Source organism: Homo sapiens, chromosome 17, assembly GCF_000001405.40.
Source record: "Homo sapiens chromosome 17, GRCh38.p14 Primary Assembly".
In the NCBI taxonomy this organism is placed as follows: Eukaryota; Metazoa; Chordata; class Mammalia; order Primates; family Hominidae; genus Homo; species Homo sapiens.
In genome coordinates this window covers 8,598,355-8,622,391 of record NC_000017.11, presented here as the reverse complement: position 1 = coordinate 8,622,391, position 24,037 = coordinate 8,598,355, and the positions used below count along the sequence as shown (strand labels likewise).

General features: G+C 38.4%; 1 protein-coding gene across 4 annotated transcripts in view; it reads left to right on the top strand.

The window, feature by feature from the left end:
- The window catches only part of MYH10 (myosin heavy chain 10), a 156,514-nt gene that overhangs the window by 8,334 nt on the left and 124,143 nt on the right, over nucleotides 1-24,037 (top strand). For all 4 annotated transcript variants that reach the window (NM_001375266.1, NM_005964.5, NM_001256095.2 and 1 more), the window contains exon 3: nucleotides 17,410-17,566. In NM_001375266.1, the coding sequence (NP_001362195.1) occupies nucleotides 17,410-17,566 (157 nt within the window). The remainder of the gene's footprint in view (nucleotides 1-17,409; nucleotides 17,567-24,037) is intronic.

The window sequence follows — 24,037 nt, the reverse complement described above, 5'->3', positions numbered from 1 at the left end:
CTGGCTGGGGTCGTCCTGTGGTTAGCAGCTGACATGAATGTTGGAGTCACCGACTTTGTCACTGACCATGTAGAAGAAGTTATTGAAAATCATAAGGGATAATGTAGAGAGGGATAATGTAGAGAGGAAAAATGTAAGCCAGATACTAAAAGAAAAATCTAAAATGACAAAATAGGTTTGAGGGAATGGTAGACAGAGGTGGCAATGATTTGAAGAAGGTGGCACGTGTGGGACTTAAACTGACGATGAAGGGAAGTAGGAAGAAAAGTTGATGGTCGTGGTTTGAAATCGGAAAAGGGGTGTTGAATTTTACACAAGGAGTGTGCTACTGAAGGTCATGAATAATTCAAAACTTCAGTAAATCAGAGCTAGTTTTCCTACAGAATTAGTTTAAGGAATATTTATTAAGCACCCCCTGTGCTCTAGGTGCTGGGGATAGTACAGTGAAGAAGACAGGCCAGGTCTCTCTGCCTTTCTGAAATGTCCAATGAGGAAATGAAACAAGGCTATGGAGAGAGTAAGTAGGAGAATGGCTTTCTCCAGCGGGTCAGTTAAGGGCTGTTTGTGAAGGTAGCATTTGAGCTGGAGTCTGACTGGTGGGAGGCAGCTAGCCACGAGAAAAGCTGAGAAAAGAATGATTCATTCATGACCTTTGCCAGAGTAGTTTCAACCAAGCCTGATAGATCTCCCTTATTTTCTTCTCTATGAGGTAGGAGAGTAAGAGGCCACAGGGTTGGAACGGTGGCTTGAGGAGAATGGAAAGGCTTAGGAACAACCCTTTTCCAATTTCAGACTAAGCCAGGGATAAGAAAGCGACTGGAGAGTGGCGTTGAGAGTCCAGCTGAGATTGAATAACCACGTGTAGGGTGACCGCAATTTTGCCTGGCTATGTGATTTTGCCAGACCATGGGATTGTCTCAGGTCTGTGAGTGTGGGGGGCTTTGGATCTGCATGGCTTCCACAGTGAGAGGGGGATTCAGTGGCCGTCTTTGGAGTCCTCGTTCGGTAGGAATGGGAGTCTGGGTGGGAGGGGCTGATGGATCAAGGCCTGGAAGTTTTCAGAATGTTGAGGAACAGGGATCATGGGGTGAAGGAGTGAGAAAACTGCAAAATTAAGAGGTTATGGTCAGATTGTAATGTCGACATGTAAGATTTGAGAGGTTGATCAGTTTCAGATGAAGCCCATTGCAATAAATTGTGCAGGTATGGAAATGTGATGTCACCATCAAAAACTGTGCAGTGTGAAGAGGAGCCAGGCTGCTTTTCTGCCAGCCTTCACCTTAATTTCCCACACTGGCAGCTGGAGGTAGCTGCAAAGGGTGCTAAGTAGAAAAGGAATGAAAGAAAGGACAGGTGTTTTTTTGTTGTTTTTGTTTTTGTTTTGCAGCCATTCCACATAATTCAGAGATTTTACAGTTATCTCTTACTGAGTTTGTTGGATTTTTTTCCAACTTAACTCATGGACAACCTGAGTGAACTTCTGAGTTTCTTTTCAAAGCACAGCCTCCTTCTACAGGAGAATCTGAGTTTTTCTCAAAGTCTCAAGGTCACACAGAGGTCGGGGTTTGGGAGGATCATATCTTCAATTAGTTGGGTGGAGAAAGGGTTCTTACCTAAGGTTCTAGTTGGAGAACTTGACTCCAAAGAAGTCTGTGTCGTTAAGAGGATGGGGATGGGGAGAGCCATGCTAGCATTGTGATAAATATGTATTGGGCTTTGGAATTAACCAGCCAGTTGGGATGATCAGTTGAGGTTCAATAATATAGATACTAGAATAATTTGGGTAGAACCTTTTTTGGACATATTTCTATAGATAAGATATAACATAAATTTATTTAAACAAATTAGCTTGCTAACAGGTTTAGTTATTTTATTTTCTTACCTTTTCTTTGGATTTATTCTCTCTGACCCCCAATTTCTCAGGTCATTAATTTTCATCTTCTTTCCTAATAAAACAGTTTAAAAACTGTAAATGTCTTCTCTAATACTGTTTTAGCTCACATCACAAGTTTCTATATGTAGTATTTAGTCTTCAGTTCTAAATATTTTCTAATTTCTATGATGATTCCTTTAGTGAACCATTTAAAAGTGTATTTGTAAAATTTCAAAATGTTGATTTTTAAGTTATCTTTTTATTATTCATTTTTAAAATAATTACATCTCAATCACAGAATATTGTTCATATAGGAGACTTTTTTGTGTAGTATATTGTCAGCTTTTATGAGTGGTCTGTGTTTGCAAAGAATGTGTATTCTGTTACTGTTGGATATAGGGTTCAATATATGGCTGTTAGATTAAGCTTTTTAACTGTATTGTTTATATCTTCCATAGCCTTGCTACTTTTTGTCTGCTTGATTTGTCAGTTACTGAGAAAAATGTGTGAAAAATCTCCCATTGTGGTTTATCAATGAAGTATGCATCCCTAAATGACAATTTAGTTTTGCCTGTTTTTGATTTTGTTTTTTTTGGGACAGAGTCTTGCTCTGTCGCCCAGGCTGGAGTGTAGTGGTGCGATCTCGGCTCATCGCAACCTCCGCCTCCCGGTTCAAGTGATTCTCCTGCCTCAGCCTCCCTATCAGCTAGGATTACAGGCTCGAGCCACCACACCCAGATAATTTTTTTGTATTTTTAGTAGAGATGGGGTTTCACCATGTTGGCCAGGCTGGTCTTGAACTCCTGACCTCAAGTGATCCACCCGCCTTGGCCTCCCAGAGTGCTGTGATTACAGGCATGAGCCACCGTGCCCTGCCTAGTTTTGCCTGTTTTTGAATTTTTATATAAATGAATCTCATAGTGTGTAGCCTTTTGTGTCTTTTGTTGTTGTTGGCTTAGGATTACATTTTTAAGATTTATTCTTACTGTTTTACGTTGATGTAACTCAGTAGTTCCCAAAGTGTGGTCTGGACCCCCTAGGATTTCCCTGAGACCCTCTCAGGGGAGCACACAAGGTCAAAACTATTTTTATAACAATACGAATATGTCATCGGCCCTTTTTACTGTTGATATTTGTAGTGACGGTTCAAAAGCAATGATGAATAAAACTCCTGACGCCTTATCATGAATAAAGGCAGTGTACTAGTACCAAACTGTACTAGCACCATTTTATTCTTCACTGCCACTTATTGGCAGTTTAAAAAAAATGCAGTTTCACTCAAGAATGTCCTTGGTAAAGCAGGAAAAATAATTGATTTTATTAAATCTCAACCTTTGAGAACACATCTTTTTAATATTCAGTGTGACAAAATGGTAAGTATGCCTAAAGGACTTTTGATGCATATCAATGTATGATGGTTGCCTTGAGGACGAGCATGTGGGTAGTTATTTGAGTTGCAAGCTAAACTTGCTACTTTTTAAGTAGAATGCTATTTTCATTTGATAGAGTGGCTGATAAACTATGGTTACTCACACAGAGGTATTTGGCAGACATTTTCTTGAAAATGAACAAAACGAGCCTGTCACTTCAAAGAAAACAACCGACTGTATTTGTTGCCAATGGTAAAATTTGAGTTTTTATGTGAAAATTAGAATTTTAGGAAACTTGTATCTAGCACCATGAACTTGACAGCATGTCAATACTTAAAAACCTTTCTGATATGATAGATGGTGATAATAATGAAAGTGGGTTTTTTTGATGTCATACAGTAAAATGTCATCATTTGAAAGACTTGCATATTTAGTGAGCCAGTATTCTCCAGATGATGTGTGTATGGTGTTATGAAATCATGCATGGGTAAAAAGACTTGTTCAATACGCAAGGTAAACCGTAGATTTTGATGCAGTGGAATATGAGAAGTTCACTGATAGGGTTTCAGATGCTACACTACATCTAATTTTTAAGAAATTATCACTTGTTGGCCAGTCGCAGTGACTAACGCCTGTAATCCCAGCACTTTGGGAGGCCAAGGCAGGCGGATCACCAGAGGTCAGGAGTTCGAGACCAGCCTGACCAACATGGAGAAACCCTGTCTCTACTAAAAATACAGAATTAGTCAGGCATGGTGGCACATGCCTGTAGCCCCAGCTACTTGGGAGGCTGAGGCAGGACAACCCAGGAGACAGAGGTTGCAGTGAGCTGAGATCGTGCCATTGCCCTCCAGCCTGGGCAACAAGAGCGAAACTCCATCTCAAAAAAAAAAAAAAGAAAAAAGGAAATTATCATGTTAAGTTTTAGTAGTATCAAAGATAAATATCCATGGTTATCTGAAAAGACTGTTAAACCGTTCCTCTCTCTTCCAACTAAATATCTGTAAGTCTGCTTTGCTTTTCTTCATATGCTTCATCCAAAACAACGTATTACAGTAGACTGAATACAGAAACAGACATGAAAATTGAGTTGTTTTCGATTAAGCCAGACAATAAAAGTTTTGCAAGAATATAAAACAGTGCCATTCTTCTCACTTTTGTTTTGGAAAATGAAAAGTTATTTTTCGTAAGAAATGTTATTTATGTTAACATGTAATGTATTTATTGTTTTAGAATAAATAGATATTTATAAAACTTTATATTTTATATGAAACAAAAGGTCTTTGGGGTCCTTAATAATTTCTAAGAGTGCAAAAAGGCTGTGAAATTTTAAAAGTTTGAGTAGTTTATTCATTTTTGTTGGAATATAGTATTCCATCATAATATTTTTGACCCAATGAATTTATCTGCCTACTCCACTGTTTTGTACATTGTTTTTTTCTCTGTTTGTAATATTATGATCATTGCTTCAATGAACAGCCATATACATGTACTTGGTGCACAGTAAGCATGCCTTTCTGTAAGGTGTGTAACTAGGAGTGGAATTCCTGGATGATAGGATATGCATATCTGTAACTCATATCTTCAGCTTTTCTAGATAATGTCTGATTTAGTTGGAGTTCCAGAAGGAAACAGAAGGCTCTCAAACGAGGTATTTGAGAGTTTAATAAAGGGTAGATTTACAAATAATGTGGGTAGGGTTTAAAAAATAAATGAGGACTAGTGCAGTATCTCAGCACTAGTGATGACTGAGAGCCCTTGAAACATCTTGCTCTTTAAAGAAGCATTAGGAAAGAGCTGTTGCCTCAACTCAGAGAGGTACCTATATGGAGAGGGCTACCTGATAGGAATTGCCTTCCTTAGAGGCATGAAAGGCAGCTCATGGTGGGGAGAGAACCTAGGGCATAAATATCCTGACCTTCTCTTCTCACCCTTAGTCTCCTGCTGATGTCTCCCATTGGTTGAACTCAGTTTGAAGCCAGAGGGGAAGGGAATTTGATGATCCTTTTCTTAGGGTCAGCCTCAATTCCATCTAGAATTGAATATTGTGTATGGTGTGAGGTTGGGGCAAGATTCTTTTTTTTTTTTCCATATGGCTAGCCAGTTAACCCAGTGCCATTTACTAAAACATAATCCTTTCTCCACTGCTCTGAAGGGGCATCTTAGTCATAAATCAGGGTTCATAAGTATGTTTTTGACTCTGTTGTATTTCCTGGGTCTGTGTGCCTATCTTTCAGCTAATATCACATTTTCTTACTTATTACAGCTTTATAATGTGTCTTGGTATTTAGTGTGGTAAATCCTCTATTTTTTGTTCTTTAGGATTGTTTTGGCTGTTAAGTTCTTAGCATTTCAATATAATTTTAGAATCTGCTTGTCAGTTTTTCATTTACACACACAACCTTGTTGAAATTTTGATTGGGATCTTACTGATTCTGTAGATCAGTTTGGGAGAGAAATTAGATCTTTATAATATTTTATCTTTAATTCCTGGGTAAACTCATTTATTTAGTTCTTAATTTTTATTAATATTGTTTTATAGTTTTCTTTGTAGAGGCCAGGTACATCTTTTGTTATTTATTTTTGGGTATTTTATTTTATTTGAATATTATTTAAATGGTGTTTAAATTTTTCCCTTATTATTCATATGGTATATAGATAATATGTACATAATTGTTATCATTATGTAGAAATACTGTATTTTTTACAATTAATTTTTGTATATTGACTTTATCTTCAGTGACCTAAGTTTACTTATTGGTTATTATAGTTTAGCCGAAAATTCTGTTGGATTTTCTATGAGCACACATGTTGTCCACAAATAATGAGTTTTATTTTTCACTAAATCTTATACTTTTTTTTTTTGGAGACAAAGTTTTGCTCTGTCACCCAGGCTGGAGTGGAGTGGGATACTCATGGCTTACTATGGCCTCAACCTCCTGGGCTCAGGCGATCCTCCCACCTCAGCCTCCCGAGTAGCAGGGACCATAGGCATGTACCACCATGCCTGGCTGATTTTTGTATTTTTGTAGAGACAGGGTTTCGCCATGTTGCCCAGGCTGGTCTCGAACTACTGGGCAAAAGCAATCCGCCTGCCTCAGCCTCCCAAAGTGTTGGGATTATAGGCGTGAGCCACCATGCCCAGCCAGTTGACACACATTTCTTTTACTTGCTTTATTGCACTGTCTAGAATTTTCAGTACAATGTTTTTTGAACAGAAGTGATAATCAGAGGCATCCTTGTATCAGTCCTGATCTCAGAGGGGAAACTGTCAACATTTCATCATTAAGAATGATATTTGCTGTAGTTGGTGTTTTTTTAAATACTGATTCTTTATCAGATTAAGGGAGATTTTCTCGTATTCCTGAATGGGTGATTTTTTTATCCTGAATGGTTGATTTTTTAAAAATTAATGAATGTTAATTTATCAAATGTTTTTCCATTATTCAATGAGATGATAATGTGATTTTTCTTCTTATTTTGTTATTGTGGAGAATTGTGCATATTTTTGAGTGTTAAATTAACCTTGCAAGGACCAAATATTCTTTATATGTACACAAAGAGAGAGTGAGATTCCTAGATTCTGTTTGCTAGTATTTTGTTTAGGATTTTTGCATCCTCATTCATCAGTGAGATTAACTTAAAATTTTCCTTTCTTATAATATCTTTGTCATATGTTGCTATCAAGATTATGCTGGTTATATCAAATGAATTGGGAAATGTTTCATCTTTGTTCTCTGGAAGAGTTTGGCTAGGATTGATGTTATTTCTTTTTAAAGTAATGATAGAGTTTTCTTTGTGGGAAAGTTTTTCTATAATAGATACAGAACTTTTCAGATTTTTATTTGTATCAGTGTTTCTTTTTTTTTTTGAGATAGGTTCTCACTCTGTCACCCAGGCTGGATTGCACTGGTGCAATCATAGCTCGTGCAGCCTTGAAGTCCTGGGCTCATGTGATCTTCCTGCCTTAGCCTCCCAAGTAGCTGGGACCACACCCGGCTAATTTCTGTATTTTTTAATAGAGATGGGATTTCACCATGTTGGCCAGTCTTGTCTCAAAACCCTGAACTCAAGCAATTCACCCACTTTGACCTCCCAAAGTGTTGGGATTACAGGCATGAGCCACTGCTCCTGGCCTTGTGTCAATTTTGATAATTATGTTTGTCTAGGAATTTATCTGTTTCATCTAAATGTTCAAATTTATTGGTATAAGTTGTTCATAATATGCTTATTTTCTGTAGGATTAATAGTCATGTTTTCTTTTATTCCTGATACTGATAACTTATTTGTATTACCCTTTTTTAAAATGAGTGTCACCAGAGGCTTATCAATTTTTTTATTCTTTGCAAATAATAGACTTTTGACTTTGTTGGTCCTCTATATGTGTGCTTTAAAAGCCATAAATTTCATTCTAAGTACTGCTGTAGCTGTATTCTACAAGTTTTAATATGTTGCATTTTTATTAGCATTCAGTTGAAATTAATGAGGATGTTTTCTTTGACTCTCTGGGTAATTTAGAAGTGAATTGCTTAGGCTGGGCACAGTGGCTCATGCCTGTAATCCTAACACTTTGGGAGGCCCAAGTGGATGAATCACTTGAGGCCAGTGTCAAGACCAGCCTGGCCAAAATGGTGAAACCCTGTCTCTACTAAAAATACAAAAATTAGCCAGGTGTGGTGGCGTGTGCCTGTGGTCCCAGCTACTCGGGAGGCTGAGGACAGAGAATAGCCTGAACCGGGAAGGCAGAGGCTGCAGTGAGCCGAGATTGCACCACTGCACCACTCCAGCTTGAACAACAGAGCGAGAATCCATCTCAAAAAAAAAAAAAAAAAAAAAAAAAAGAAGTGAATTGCTTACTTTCTAAATCTAGGGGATCTTCAGGTTTATTTTATTATTTCTAATAGATTCCCCCCTTGGTCAAATAACATGCCCTGAATAATTTCAATTCTTTTATATTTGTTAGACTTGCTTTATGGTTCGTTATGTGATTAATTTGGTAAAGGGTTATTATGCACTTGAAAAATACATATACTTTATTATCTGTTGTTTCAGTTACTGTGAAAATCCCTTCCTTTTTAGTTCTGTCCATTTTTGCTGTGTACATGCTGAAGCTATTATCACGTATATACAGATGTAGAAATTTGATGTCTTTCTGGCAAATCATGGAATGGTCATTTTTAGTGATGTTGTTTTCTTGCAAAATTGACTGTTGTTTTCTTGCAAAGTCTGATATTTGCATTAGCCTTTTTTTTTTGGATTAGTGTTTGTGTGGTTAATTGCTTTCTTAACTTACTTTCAGCTTTTCTGTGCCTGTGCCTTTAAAATATGTCTCTCATAAACTGCTTATGGTGGTTATTTTTGTCCCAAATCTGACAATATTTTTCAGCTGGAATATTTAGTTTATGTACATGTGATGTAATGACTGTTACATTTTAGCTTAAATCTGTCCTCTGATTCATTGCTTTCTTTTTATCCTACCCGCTCTATGTTTATTTTTTAATCTTTTTGTCCGTTGGTTATAATTTTTATTATTCTGTCTTTTCACCTCGTGTTAGCTGTCCATTTTTGCTATTTGCTTAGCTATTCTTTTAGTGGTTACATATTCCAACATGGATCCTTGACCTGTTAGACATGTGGAGCTCTTATTCTTTTGTAGATCATGATAGGTAGGGCCTGAGAGCACCTGAACAAATTTATTTCCTCTTCCTTCCTAATTTATGTGCTTTTGTTGTTTAATTCTCTCTATATTTTAAAACCCACAAGACACATATTACATTTTAATACTGTCGATATTCATTTAGTTTTATCCATTACTCTTTTTTTTCCACATCTTTTAGCTTCCGTTCTTTTAGAAAGGGCCCCTTTTATCTGAAGTATCTACTCGTCCTTTATTTTTGAAGTTTTTTTGGTTTTTGCTGGATTTGGAATTCAGAGCCGGCGGTTGTTTTCTTTTAACATTGTGAAAATGCCATTGCATCGGGTTCTGCCTTTCGTCTTTTTCTGTTGAGAATTCAGCTTGTAGTTTGATTGTTGTTCCCTTGAAGGTCATCGGTTTTCCTTTTCCCACCCCGGCCACTGGCTGTCTCTAAAATTTTCTCTGTCTTTGGATTTCAACACTTTTACTGTGATGGGCTTAGGTAAAGTTTTATTTTGTATATAGTGGGTCCTCCTTGTCTTCAAGGGATACATTCTAAGATCCCCAGTGGATGCCTGAAACCACAAATGGTACTGAACCATATATATATGATGTTTTTTCCTATACATACATACCTATGATAATTTTTTTTTTTTTTTGAGACAGAACAGAGTCTCCCTCTGTAGCCCAGGCTGGAGTGCAACGGTGCAATCTCGGCTCACTGCAACCTCCACCTGCCAGTTCAAGCAATTCCACTGCCTCAGCCTCTTGAGTAGCGGGGATTACAGGCGTGCGCCACCACGCCTGGCTAATTTTGGTATTTTTAGTAGAGACGGGGTTTCACCGTGTTGGTCAGGCTGGTTTTGAACTCCTGACCTCGTGATCTGCCCCCTCCTTGGCCTCCCAAAGTGCTGCGATTACAGGTGTGAGCCACCGCACCTGGCCATACCTATGATAAAATTTAATTTACAATTTAGGCGTGGTGGGAGATTAACAACAATAACTATTAAAATAGAGCAATTAAAACAATATACTTAATAAAAGTTATGTAAGTGGTTTCTCTCCCTCTTTCAGAATATCTTATTGTACTCTTCTTGTGATGATTTGATGAATTTCTTTTTCCTAGTTCACAAATTCACAGATAGAAGATTGATTCTTCCCATAGATCCTAGCAGCCTCAGCATATGATTTTATCGTTATTAAGTTGAAAACTTACCATATCACTTAAAGGAAGCACTTTGTGGCTTCTCTTTGGCATATCAGAATTGCCAGCATCACTACTCTTGTGCTTGGGGCTATTCTTAAGTAAAATAAAGGTGACTTGAACACAGTTGATCTGAGATCTGAGAGGGCTACCAAGTGATTAATAGCTGTACAGCATGATGATGCTGGACGAAGGGATAATTCACGGTCTGTGCACGATGGAGCGGAATTGTGCCAGATTTCATCACACTACTCAGAATAGTGCACAATTTAAAATGTATGAACTGTTTATTTCTGGAGTTTTTCAACAAATATTTTTGGACCACAGTTGATTGTGGACAACAAACTGCAGAAAGTGAAACCACAGATAAGGGGCACTACTGCATTCAGCTTGGAGATTGTAGTGGTTTTGACTCTGTGGCTTGATGGCTTTTGTTGGTCCGGGAAAATTCTTAGCCATTATCTCTTCAGATACTGCTTCTGCCTCATTCTCTTTTTTCTCCTTCTTGGACTCACATACTTCACATGCTCCAGATCGTTTCACCTCGTCCCATCTGGGTCTCACATTCCTCTACATTTTTATCCTTGTTTTTCCCCCATGGATCACTCTGGCTGTTTGCCTCTGATTAAAATGCCGTGTAACTAATTGTTTCTTCAGCTGTATCTAGCTTGCTGTTTAACACATGAATTCTTAATTGTAGTTACTGGTTTTCTTTTTTTGTTTTGTTTTGTTTTGTTTTGTTTTTCAGTTTTAGAATTTTCATTTGGGTTTTTCCTTTAATAGTTTCCAGTTCTCTGTCAGAATTCTCAGTCACGTCTTTAATTACTTGAACATATTGTAACCCAGGGCAATAATACAAGTCAATAAAAATAGACACACAGAGGTTCCAGATATTATCTTGGATTTCAGCCACAACTTGTTGCCTCATATGCCCAGTTATTGTGTACAAGGAATTGTGGAAATAGTTTGAGACTCTGGCTGGCATTAAGCTTATTCTAGAGTTTTGCTTTGGGCAGGCAGGCTTAGGGAAACTAGGACATGTAGTCCATGCAGGAGTTGACTTCTGTTCCAACTGGGCTTCACGCTGTGTGAGGGCTGGTCTGTTTCTCATATAGTCTTAACTCTTAGGGTGTAGCCATCAGGGTCCCAGCTGAAAGCTTGGGGTATTTACCACCGCCACACCAACCTCTTCCTGAGTAGACTGGAATGTTTTAATTTTTGTTCTCTTAGACTTTTGTGCTGCTGAAAGCTCTGCTTAGCATCTTCTCAGCAACGGGTTTTGGGATGCATAACTATTATCTATCTAAGAAAGAAATAACAATTCTCTAATCATCAAATATTCAGTTACTTTTCTTATTTTCCTTTTGTCTCATAAATAATCTCATAAATAGTTGGTCTGTACAATTCAGGATCCAAACAAGGTTGACATATTGAGATTGGTTGCTTAGTCTGTTTTGTGTTGCTATAACAAAATAACACAGATTGTATGATTTATAAACAAGAGAAGTTTATTTGGCTTATGGTTCTAGAGGCTGGGAAGTCCAAGGTCAAGGGGCTGCATCTGGTGGGGCCTTCTTGCGGCATCATTCCATGGGAGAAGGCGGAAGGGCAAGAAGAGCATGCTCAAGAGAGAGCAAGAGATAGAATTTATAGCCACAAGCCCTTTTATAATTGGCATTAATCCATTGATGAAGGTGGAGCCCTCATTATCTAAGCACCTCTCAATAGGCCTCACCTCCCAACATTGTTGCACTGGGGATTAAATTTCCAGCACATGCTTTTGTGGGGACACAGTCAAAGCATAGCAATTGTTATATCACTTTTAATCTCTTTCTCTCCCCTCTTTTTATTTATTTTTATTTATTTTTTATTTTTTTTTGCTTCTGGAGATAGGGGTCTCACTATATTGCCCAGGCTAGTCTTGAACTCCTGAGCTCAAGTGATCTTCCCACCGTGGCTTCCCAAAGTGCTGGGGTTACAAGCATGAGCTACCATGCCCGGCCGCTTCCCCCAACCCTTTTTTTTTTTTTTTTTTTTTGCAATCCTATGGTGCTCCCTATAAACTGGAAGGAGAAAAATCCATAAATTGGATCCAGAGGCTTAAACGGATTCAGATTCAGGAGACACTTAATGCTACATTGTCTCTCACTTTATGATGTTGAGATTGATCAGTAGTGAGTCATTTTAGGTTTTGCCAGCCTGGTTTGTGCATGAGGAGTGGCCTCATCTGCCAGTCACCTAAAAATTTTAATAGTGATGGGCATTGTGCAGATCCACTGTGGCACTGGGAGCTGCAAAATGGTGAGTCCAGTGCCATTATTCCTTCTGCGTTTGTTAGCTTAGCGAATTCCTTTTAATTCAATGTGTATTCCTCCACACACACAGTTTTCTCAAGTTTTTTTTTTTTACAGAGTGTTTTTGCTATTTTCTCTCAAAGAAGCAATAGCAACTAATGTTAGTTATCCTTCCTCTGCCCTCTATGTATTATTATTACTGATAAGTTTTGCCTTTGTAACGTCATTTTCTTTTATTATTTTACCATTGTTCTATTTTTCTTTAAGAAGGATGCTCTCCTATAATAAATGTCTGCTCTTATCACTTGATTTCCTGAGGTATCCATTCTGCCCTTTATTTTCTCCACTGTGGATTTTAATTTTACGTTTTCAGATGATTCCTTACAGTCTTTTCTGGCCCTGGTCACCTATTTTTTTTCTTATGCATTTCTGTCCTAATACGTAGACTCTATGTTATACTATATTCTGTTACAGATATAAATCTGTCTCCTAAAGTTTTCTTTTAGTTATTTTATAGATAATTTCCACAGGTAATTTATTTCTGAATCCTCTGAATGATGATCTTATTATTTAGGTTTTTTTTCAAAATTTGCATGTGAATTTTAACTAGGTGCAGTGTTTGCAGGTGGTATGGGTGAATTATTCTTTCCTTCCTCCCTTTCCTTCTCGATGGTGGTCTGATTTCTTCTGAGAGCTACAGTTGGGATGTAGGGTTACATGATATTCCCAGTTCAATCCCTGTTCGTAGTAGGAGACTATTGTATCTCTGCTCCATTGCGTTGACATTTGCACCAGCCTACACTTCCTGTTTCTCTAATCCTTTGAACCTATGAAACAATGCATATACATAGCCCTGCTTTCTTAAACAGAGGCCGGGCACTTCCAGGCTGAAAAATTTCCCAATCGGCTGGGCGCGGTGGCTCATGCCTGTAATCCCAGCACTTTGGGAGGCCAAGGCGGGCAGATCACGAGGTCAGGGGATCGAGGCCATCCTGGCTAACACAGTGAAACCCCGTCTCTACTAAAAATACAAAAAAATTAGCGGGGCGTGGTGGCAGGCGCCTGTAGTCCCAGCTACGCGGAAGGCTGATGCAGGAGAATGGCGTCAGCCCGGGAGGCGGAGCTTGCAGTGAGCCGAGATCGTGCCACTGCACTCCAGCCTGGCGACAGAGCGAGACTCCGTCTCAAAAAAAAAAAAAAAAAAATTTCCCAATCATAGACAGAGGAAGATGGGCATTCCAGGCAGAGTGGTCAGCATAGGTGGGAGCCTGGAGGCATAAAGCAGCATAGTGGGCTTGAAAATTTGTAAATGTTTCCAACTGCAAATATTTTTGTATGTCTCCCTTAGGTAAAGTATACAGTAGTGTTATTATGCAAACTTAACCTTTCAGGCCTTTGCAGCTCTTCAGGATTTTCCCAAGGCTCTGGCAATCCAATATTTCCAGCTGCCCAAGAGGCATCCTGCTTGGCTCACCCACCATACCACAGTGTCAGTACATTAAAGGGATTTGTTATCTTTTCCCACAAATCAGTTGTTTTTCCTTCCACGAATAATGTTTCTGTAAGGCCTGGAGACCTTGGAGTCCTCTTTGACTTCGGTCTTTAATGGCTTTTCTGTGTTGAAAGTTTCTGAGCACTGTGAAGTCCCGGCCTTCTCTGTTTTGTGTTGCCTTTTCTGTCATCTAGGCCCTGTTGTGCCAAGGACCGTTGAGCAGTCTCCACGTGTCTTCCTGCTTCTCACCTTTTGCCCCTTCAATGTGTTCTCCGTATGGCTGCCAGATTTGTACTTTGTCTGAAATGCTTATTTCATCCAATCACTTTTCTCTCCTGAACCTTCAATACCTCATCACCCATAGATGACAAAATCCGAATTGTTCAGTTTGTTTTTTTAGGCCCTTGTCGCTCACATTCCATGGTACAAACTATTTTTGCTATGCTGGTCTTCTCGCACTGCCTCGAGTATATCCTGCCACTGTAAGAGTTTTGTGCTTTTACTACTTTAATAGGAATTCCTTTATCTCTCCTTTTGACCCCATAGTCTTTAAAAAGAACATCAAAGACCATTTGGGTCTGCATTTTTTACCTTGTTCTACAGTCTCTGACAAGGTGGTCATGACTTTCAGTGCCTGGGGTTTGTTGTGTTCTGCCCCAGAGCTTTCTGTTATTTATAATACCAGTTCATCTTTCTCTTTCTCTTTTTGGTGCTTTGCATTGTAGCTTGTTTAGTGTGCGTCTATTTGTCTTCATGCCCAGAGTGTATGTTTCTTAAAGAAGCTTAGTATCTTCTGTGTGTATTCAAATACTTAGTTAAGTTCATTTGAACTTTAAGGTCTCCAGAATAATTTTAACAACATATTGCCTTCCTACCATGTGTCTGGGGGAAGACAGAACTGGTGCAGTATCTATTCAGTGATCAGTTTATACAAGAGCTCAATACTTGTGCTAATTTTTTAGGTAGTTAGAAGTTAGCTCTTTAAGCACTTTAATAATGTTCCTTCTTAAGCATTGATTACTGCTCCATTTTGGCAAGCATGGGATACTGATGATTAGTTAACCTTTTATATTTTTGATGATGAACTCATATTTGTGAGACTTATTCTCTCTTATTGTAGTCCTCAGGTAAGTACCTAATGCATGGTAGACACACATGTTGGAATTACTTCTGATTAAATGTGTCAGTTATTATCTGTTACCATGCCATACGTGCTATGGGACACTAAACTGAATTTGTGTATTTTCGTTTTCTTGGAGCTTTTTTACTTTCTAGTCTCTAATTACATGCCTTTTATAAAATTGAAGAGTATAATCTGTAGCTTCCTTATAGACTGTGATCTCATTTTTGAATGAAAAAGTGAGGGTGGTTGTACAAAAATTCATCAATGTATGGTTGCGATTTGTTAACGTTATATAAATTAAACTCCTAAAAAGGTATTGAGGTTGCCTCTCCTTTGTTTTTCTCAGCCTTAATAAAGCCTTTATTTTTATTGTTCCTCATTGCCCTTTTGTCCTGTGGGCAGCAAAGAAATACGGGACTAGATAGACAAGAGACTTGATTGGGAGAAAGTGCAAGGTGTTGGTCTGGGAACCCCAAGGGCCAGCCAGGGTTTGCCAGGTCTGTACTTTGCATACAAGAAGGCCAAGAGTCTGAAGACTTGAGGAGTCTATAGTAATTAGTACAGTCTCAGGCAAAGAACGAACAGATAACCTCCTGGTCTGCTCAGTAGTAAGGCTTCAGCAAACAGCCCAAATCTGAATTTAGGATAAGGGCCCTTTGCCCCTTCTAAACTGCTAACCTAAGTAGGAAGTGCGTTCCACATCTGAGCCTGCAATTGTGAGTTCAGGAAAATACAAGGCGGGCAGCCAGAGAGACAGTTCTGATCACTTGAAATTTTTTGGCAGGCTTTCATTCTCTTGGTTTAGCATTAGTAAACAGAGTAGTCTCTGGAGAGCTTTCTGGTGGCAATTGCTGGGGGTTTCAGCTCTTATGAACACGGCTGTTAGTTAGAATCCCCCTTAGTGTTCCCTGGGGAAGCTGGCCATACAGTACCAATTCTCCAGCCTTTTTTCATGTCCTCTTGCTTTTAGATTTTGGTCTACCCAAATCACCTCAAATAAAAGATCTGTTTCATAATGCAACTGAGTGCCCTTCCAGATGCCTTCAGTCCCTTAGAGGGTTAGAGCATCTGTCAGCGGTTCTGACTGCTCTTGTTTTTCCGTAGTGCCCAGAATCAGTTTTGTAGAATATTCTCAGAAATCATTCTGTCTACATTTAAAAAACCCGCAAGTCATAAGCATTCATAGGGTCAATTCTGTGTAATTGATAGTATTGATCAGGAAAAGTTTGTATTTTCTAGCCTAGCAGCTTTTATTTACTGAAGATCCATCCCAAAGAGCTTTTGTTTATTTGGCTTATGTTTATTGATATTTACTGTATCAGTAATTAAAATACATTTTAAATCTTTATTAATTCATTTAAAAAGAATAGTAGTTAATCATGACAAGTTAACATAAGTAAATACATTTTTAAGAAAAAAAAATCCCTGTATTTTCCAAAACAAAAAAAAATTAGACAGATGAAAACTCTTACATTTTTACAAATCTCTTTAGTATTAACCAAACATAGCTGGAATCTCATATCTGCTTTTGCATTCTGTTTTCTTATAACATGTCATTTTGGGTAAGGCATATGAAGAAAATCCAGCCATGGAGATATTTAGTTGGAAAAAAAGAAGAGTGGTTTTTCTTTTGTTTGTTTGTTTGTTTGTTTGTTTGTGATGGAGTCTCACTTTCTTACCCAGGCTGGAGTACAGTGATGCGATCTAGGCTTACTGCAGCCTCTGCCCCCTGGGGTTCAGGCGATTTTCCTACCTCAGCCTCCTGAGTAGCTGGGATTACAGGCGCCTGCCACTGTGCCCGGCTAATTTTTGTATTTTTAGTAGAGACAGGGTTTCACCATCTTGGCCAGGCTAGTCTTGAACTCCTGACCTTGTGATCCACCCTCCTCGGCCTCTCAAAGTGCTGGGATTACAGGCGTGAGCCACCGTGCCTGGCCAAGAAGAGTATTTTAATACCCTTTTTAGATAATTGTGGATATTCTTCTTTGATACTGTACCCAAACTGGACAAATGCTATTTTCTTAAAGATTAATTGCAATATGGAATCTGAAACTGCATTAACGAGCTTTTCATAGCTTGTGTACTCATGAGAGAATGAATGTAAAAAAGTAAATAACATATTGATTGTACCTTATGATAGCCACGTGAAGTCAGGAAGCTCGCATTATTTCTACTTCATGGATGAGGAAATTGAGTCCAGCAGAGTGCCACTTAATAAGCTATCTGTGGGAGAACTACTTGTGGTTCATAGTACTAAATTGCCCATTATAGGCTAAGTTTAATTTGGGGGATAGATTAATTATCCAAAAGGTAAAGATCTCCTGCTTAAATGACTCTTTGGTTTCTGTCTCCTGATTGGACCCTGATTGATAAATGCAGAGGTTTTTTTTTTAATACTCTATTTTATTTTTATTCTAGACTTATTCTGGACTCTTCTGTGTAGTTATAAACCCTTACAAGAATCTTCCAATTTACTCTGAGAATATTATTGAAATGTACAGAGGGAAGAAGCGTCATGAGATGCCTCCACACATCTATGCTATATCTGAATCTGCTTACAGATGCATGCTTCAAGGTAATTGGAAATATTTGAATACTAAATGCTCAGAATTTCTTAAATGTAATTTACTGTTTTTTAATGTCTCAATGTATTCTACAAAAGTTAAATTTTATTTTTTTAAAATTAATAAAAAAGTAATGTTTATTGTAGAAAAATTGAGTTTTTAAGATTAAAACAGACAACACAGCCATTTTCTGTAAGTATGATAAGTATGTTTGTTGCTCTAAAACAATACCTCATAAATTTGTATGTTAAAAAGCATCTAGTTTTCATATACATTTGATTCCCACCACAAGGCGGTCTAACCAAAGCTCATTATATTAGGTTTTAAAACCAATAGGAAGAATAATAGGAAAGGTAGATGCTGCACTGGGGAAAGAAAAATTGTAAAGTATTATTTGTGATTTAAATGCATGTAAAAGGGTGACAATAAAAGTTAAAAAGCATGTGTTAAGTTGGTTGATTTTGATTGTATTCCTTTGGATCAGAATGAATATAAATTTGAGGAGTCATTCATTTGAACCCTGGCTTTAGACACAGTGATTTATGGAGGGACATTTTTAAAAGACCGGAATGTAGTGGTTTTGAATGCAATTAATATTATTGCTCTACAAGACTTCATTTAAACATGGGAGTTCCTGGTGCTACGTGAAAACCCAATCTTCTGTAATAACTCTCCCTCTCTCTCCTTTTTAATGTATTTTTTGTTACTAAATTCTATAAGTTTTAATAAAAAGCATAAGGTTCTTATAAAATCGTTCCACAATCTTCAGAAAACGGGCTGTGCTGCACCCACTTTTCATCAAATTGCAGGTCATGGCAAGTTCTTTTTGGTGATCAGGTCTGAAGGATAGTGTGAAGGAATTAATAAAGTACAATACCCACGTCCTACTTCTAGTTTTTGTTTGGATACTTATTATATACCAGATCTTCCAGGGCAAACAGGAGGTGCTTCAAGACTAGAATAGTGTCATACATAAGTTGGTAAGGACAGTTTTGTAATTTAAAAATGAGCTTAGGCTTTTAAAGAAAGATTAAATTTAATAATCTTTTTTTGGAGTTCAATACAATTTCTTAGTATTCTTAGGGAATACTAAGAAATGGCTAGGACTGTGAAAAATTGCTGTTAGAGATGGAGAATGAAGAATCATCCACTCTTTTTGTTTTTGGTTCTGTCTCTGTTAAGAAGAATGATCTTTAGATGCAGAAGAGTGTTTGTATTAGTGAGCAAACTGTGCCATATGTGGGAGAAGAAACAGAAGAAAGCGCTCTCTTTCTCTGATTAAGCCCATATTGTTCCTCATTTAAACAGATAACATCTCACAATTGAGATTGTTGACCCTCTGGTCTTTGATGTATTCTATAGAAGGGGAGTTTCCAGAAAGATGGGGACAGGCTCACATGTATCATTCTAATTTTTTAAAAGGGAAACCTTTAAACCAATCCTTGAGCTTAAAATATGTTAAGAGAACAGTCTGAAAACAATGTGAGTATATTGATTAATGACTGATTAATGACTGAGGTTGACCAGATCTATCCGGATGTGCACCAAAGGGTGTGTGCCCCCTTTTAATATTTTTATCAGCATACTTGAAGAGGTGGGATGCATTCCTGTAAAATTTGTCAATGGCATGAAACTGGGAGGGATAATGATACATTTGATGAAAAGAAACAGGATTTAAAAATCTCTTGACAGGTTGAATGAGGAGTTGAATCTAACATAATAGTTAACAGGGATAAACATTATATCCCATTAGTGGGTTCCCAGACCAGCTGTATGGATACAGTATGAGGAAGAATTGTTGGCTCTGTGGCTTTGCTGGTGAAAACTCCTCTTTAGTAAACAGAATGAGGAAGATATGAGGCAGATGTGGCTTATCAGCATATCATATTATTAATATCATTTTTAGTGCTAGAATAAACATTTATTGAAAATTACTGTGTGTCAAGCACTGGGTAAAGGCTTTGTGTCTTATTTAGTTAATGACAAGCTTGTAAAGTAAATAGAATTACTATCCCTATTTTACCAAGGCACAAGAAAGTTAAATAAATAACTTGACCAACAAAGTGTATATAGTGAAAAATACAAGCTAGGATTCAAAACCAGGCAGTGTGACACATTCTTATCCACAATAATAAACCTCCATGTGAAAGTTAAAAGGAATTAGTTGATGATAGTTTTGATTACATAAAAATTTAAAAGTTTGATACAGAAAATGAAAACAACCCACTCTAAACAATTTCCCTTTGTATTTGATTTTGTAAGTAGGGGGCTACCTGCTGATCTACTACACAACATAATTGAGGGGGCATCTGCAGGGCTAGTCAGACATTAGCATATGCAGCATTGCTGGTAAAGCTCACACCGGCTACCAATGCCAATCAATCTAGGTCTTCAATTACAAATGTGAATGGATAGCTAAGTGTCACTGGACCTAAGAAGAGGATCAGTAGCCTGACCAAGGACCGTGTGGAGAATTCAGAGCACGTGGCCCCACTGATCTATCATTTTAGATTCAATTCCCCATCCAAGCTGCCAAGAGCTTTTAAGATTCTGTTTCTTGGCCGGGCACGGTGGCTCACGCCTATAATCCCAGCACTTTGGGAGGCTGAGGCCAGCGGATCACGAGGTCAGGAGATCGAGATCATCCTGGCTAACACGGTGAAACCCCGTCTGTATTAAAGAAAATACAAAAAATTAGCCGGGCGTGGCAGCACGCGCCTGTAGTCCCAGCTACTCGGGAGGCTGAGGCGGGAGAATGGCGTGAACCCGGGAGGCGCAGTTTGCAGTGAGCCGAGATCGTGACACTGTGGTCCGGCCTGGGCGAAAGAACGAGACTCCGTCTCAAAAAAAAAAAAAAAAGATTCTGTTTCTTGCATGAAATGTATTTATCATCCTTCCTAGTTTCATATCATGCACAAACTTTTTGGTCACACATCCCACATCTTTAAGTGTATTAATAAAAAATATTCAAAAGTTTTTGCTTTTTATGTGAAAAAGCAGGAAGCTAGCTTAATTTTTTTTAAATTGGATTTTAGGGGATACTGTATCAAAATGCAGTTGTGTGCCTGGCACATAGTAGTTGCTTAATAAATATTTGTTGAATGAATGAATGAAAGCAGAGTTCTTAGACGTAAACTTGACTGCAAAAAATCATACATTCATTAAAAGCATGGAATGGTAGATTAGACAGAATTGGAAACTAGAGCAGTAGATTTGAAGACTAGAATGGAGACCAAAAAGAATCAGATGGTGCTTATGAGAGAAGGAGTAGGAAACATGGAATGTATTTGTAGATTCTTGGGTTCCATGAAAAAAGTGATATTTTTGAAAAAGGTCACCTGAACTAAAGACACACTCAGGTGTTCAGATAAAAGTGCTGGGTGGAAATAGTGAAAGGAGATACGCTTCATCTTGCATACCTTGGTGGATAGGGCAACATGACATGGAAAGGGAGTCAGTAGCATCGGGCTTCTCATTTGCAACACTGTGTGTTAGGAACTGAATTTAGGAACACCGAGGCCTCTACCTTGCACATAATCATCTGAGGTCACCTAGGAGTACCCACAGTGAGGCTCACCACCTTGTGGCTTGTCTTCCTTTGTTCCTGATGCCTCACCAGCCCAGTTCCACCCCAGGTAGCTTCCATTCAGCAGCAGGCAACCAACACTGCTACCAACCCCGGTTGACCTGGGTAGATGGAAAGGAAAGTTTTGCTTGCTGTAACAATACCTGCAGGGGCCACTTTTTTAGGCCACAATGAAAATTTAAGACATGAGAGTCCACCATCTTCATGGAATCCTGGAATGAAATTCACTGTGTTTCCAGTCATGTTTTCATTTCCATAATACTCCCTTTTCATTTTTGCCTTAGGTAACTCCCACTCTCTGATGTGCAAACTTTCTGTATGTTTAGTATCTTCAGTGAATATTTTCTTTTCCTTCAAGCTTTAACCGAGACTTGGCTTTCCCCCACATACGGGGTATGAGTCCATTTAGTGAAGAGTGCTCCATCACTCAAATCCTATGCACTGGGAGATAGGGTTAGTGTCCTTACTAACACTGTGTCTATGTGTCTGCTAAACCATTACTCCTTTACTGCCTTGGAAAAGCCGCACCTCCATCACCACTCATTACTTTCAGCAGCTTTCTTCTTGGTTCCTCTCTCACTCCATGATGGGCCCCAGCACGTTGTTTCCTCTCTGCCTCAAGCCTTGCCATTGCCCTGTGTTACTTCATAGTTTTTAATGAACAGTCAAGTCCCTTGATCGTAAGGTCCTTCATATGAATTCCTCCGTCTCTCACTTATGCCACCAACATCTATGGTGATGCTCTAGACTTTGCCATCTTTTAGAATTAACTGACTTTTCAGATAATGTTTCAGTAGTTCTAATGCAGCATCCTTCCATATTGGTAGTCCAATCAAGAAGATTGGACTTCTTAGGAGAAGAGAGTCCAATCTCCTAAATGTGTTCTTTGACTTCATGTGGATCCCCAGCCCATTACTTGTTTTACTTTCCCCCTATATGTTAACAACACCCTTCACTTTCTGCCTTGTATAATTTAGATTTCATGGCCATCTTCTACCCATTTCCTAAACCCCTCCCTTGTCCCGTTGTTCATTGGTTATTCTTGTTTGGTAAAACTCACGCTGGATGAATCAAGATATTTGTCTCTTTTAATGCTGTTACTTGGGTTGCTGATGCTTCTGGAGTTATGCTCACATAATGGAACAGATAAATACCACTGTAATTTCCTGACCGTGAGCCCTGATTCTACACTCAACTCTTGCTAATCCTACCTTGGTCCTCCCACTCTCCATAATGACTATTTCAAACCTCTGCAGGCTCCAGATCTCTGGGTCCCTCCTTGCCCCTCTACTCCCTGGCTGATGGCTTGTTTCCCATTCCACAGAGGCACTGCAGAGAAACTGCCCCAGCTAGATGAACAGATCATTATCTCTTGTGTCTACTCCTGTCAAAGGCTGGTCTTACCTAGTCCTTCACCTCTGATGCTGATCACATCCTCTTAACCTTCTTAAGAATCTCATGGTGTTGATTATTCTGGGTTGTGACTGTATCTTCTGCTTCTCTTTTTATAGGCTCCTAACATTAGCAATAAATTTTCCCTATTAGCTAAAGTTTTACCCGTTACTTTAAATAAGAAAGTTAGTTCCTTCCACCTTCCTTTTACAGCCAGATTTTTCAAAACAGTGTTGCAGATGGGTAGGCAGATATGGTTGCTGGCAGGAGCTTGTGAAAATGAAGCAGGGTTTCAGCTGAGAGTGAGGAGGAGGGAGGAGAGATTGGTGGTTTAAGATAGAAATAGTGTGATGTAGTCATCTAGGAGAGACAGATAATACTTACATGTACATCACTGACATTGCATCAAATATTTAAAACAGTTGCTATTGGAAATGTAAGGAGAATGTGAACCACAGTTATAGAGGGAGTTTTAATATGCTTCTCTCAGAATTTGACATATTAAGTAGGGAAAAAAAGAATATTAAAGAATGTGATTTAATACAACTTAGCAAGCTTATATTGAAAAATGTATGTATGCAAGCAGAAAGCACATTTACAAATGTGGTGTCTATTCCATATAGCAGGCCACCAATAAAAATCTCAGTTCCTGAAAGAAGAAATCACAGGCTACATTCTCTGACCACAGTGCAATAAGACAAGATATTAGCAATAAAAAGATTTCCAAATGGGTTAGTGTTTGTGGGAGTGTGTTTAATGAGTATGAATGTTTTGTTATTAATCACTCATCTATGTGGCTTTTGGTAAAAGAGGAAATCAAAACTTACAGATTCTTTAGAAATCACTACAACAGGCTGGGCACCATGGCTCACGCCTGTAATCTCAGGACTTTGGGAGGCCAAGGTGGGCAGATCACTTGAGCTCAGGAGTTCAAGACCAGCCTGGGCAACATGGTGAACCCCCAGCTCTACGAAAAATAAAAAAATTAGCCAGATGTGGTGGCATGCTTCTATAGTCCTAGCTACTCAGGAGGCTGAGGTGGGAAGATTGCTTGAGCCTGGGAGGTGGAGGTTGCAGTGAACTGAGATCATGCCACTGCACTCCAGCCTGGGCAACAGAGCAAGACCCCGTCTCAAAAAAAAAAAAAAGGTACAAAATGCTACATATAAAAATTTTGTGAGTTATGGCAAAAGCCACTTTTAAGAAATAGTTCATGGCTCTAAACGTTTTCATTAGGAAAGAAAGATTTATAGACAAATTAAAGTTTGTATTCAGCAAAATAGATAATAGACAATTTTTTGCTAATTTATTGAGCTGTACATTGCTTTTTTTCTGTGTGTCATTTCATAATAAAAAAGGTACTTAAAAGTACAATGAAATGAACCAAAACAAGAGGGAAAATGTAGGAAGAGATAAGTGGATTGGAACAAAGAACATTTTCTCCTAGAACTGGTAAGTACAACTAAGAGCTGGTCCCACGAAAAGACAGACTAGACAAATGTTT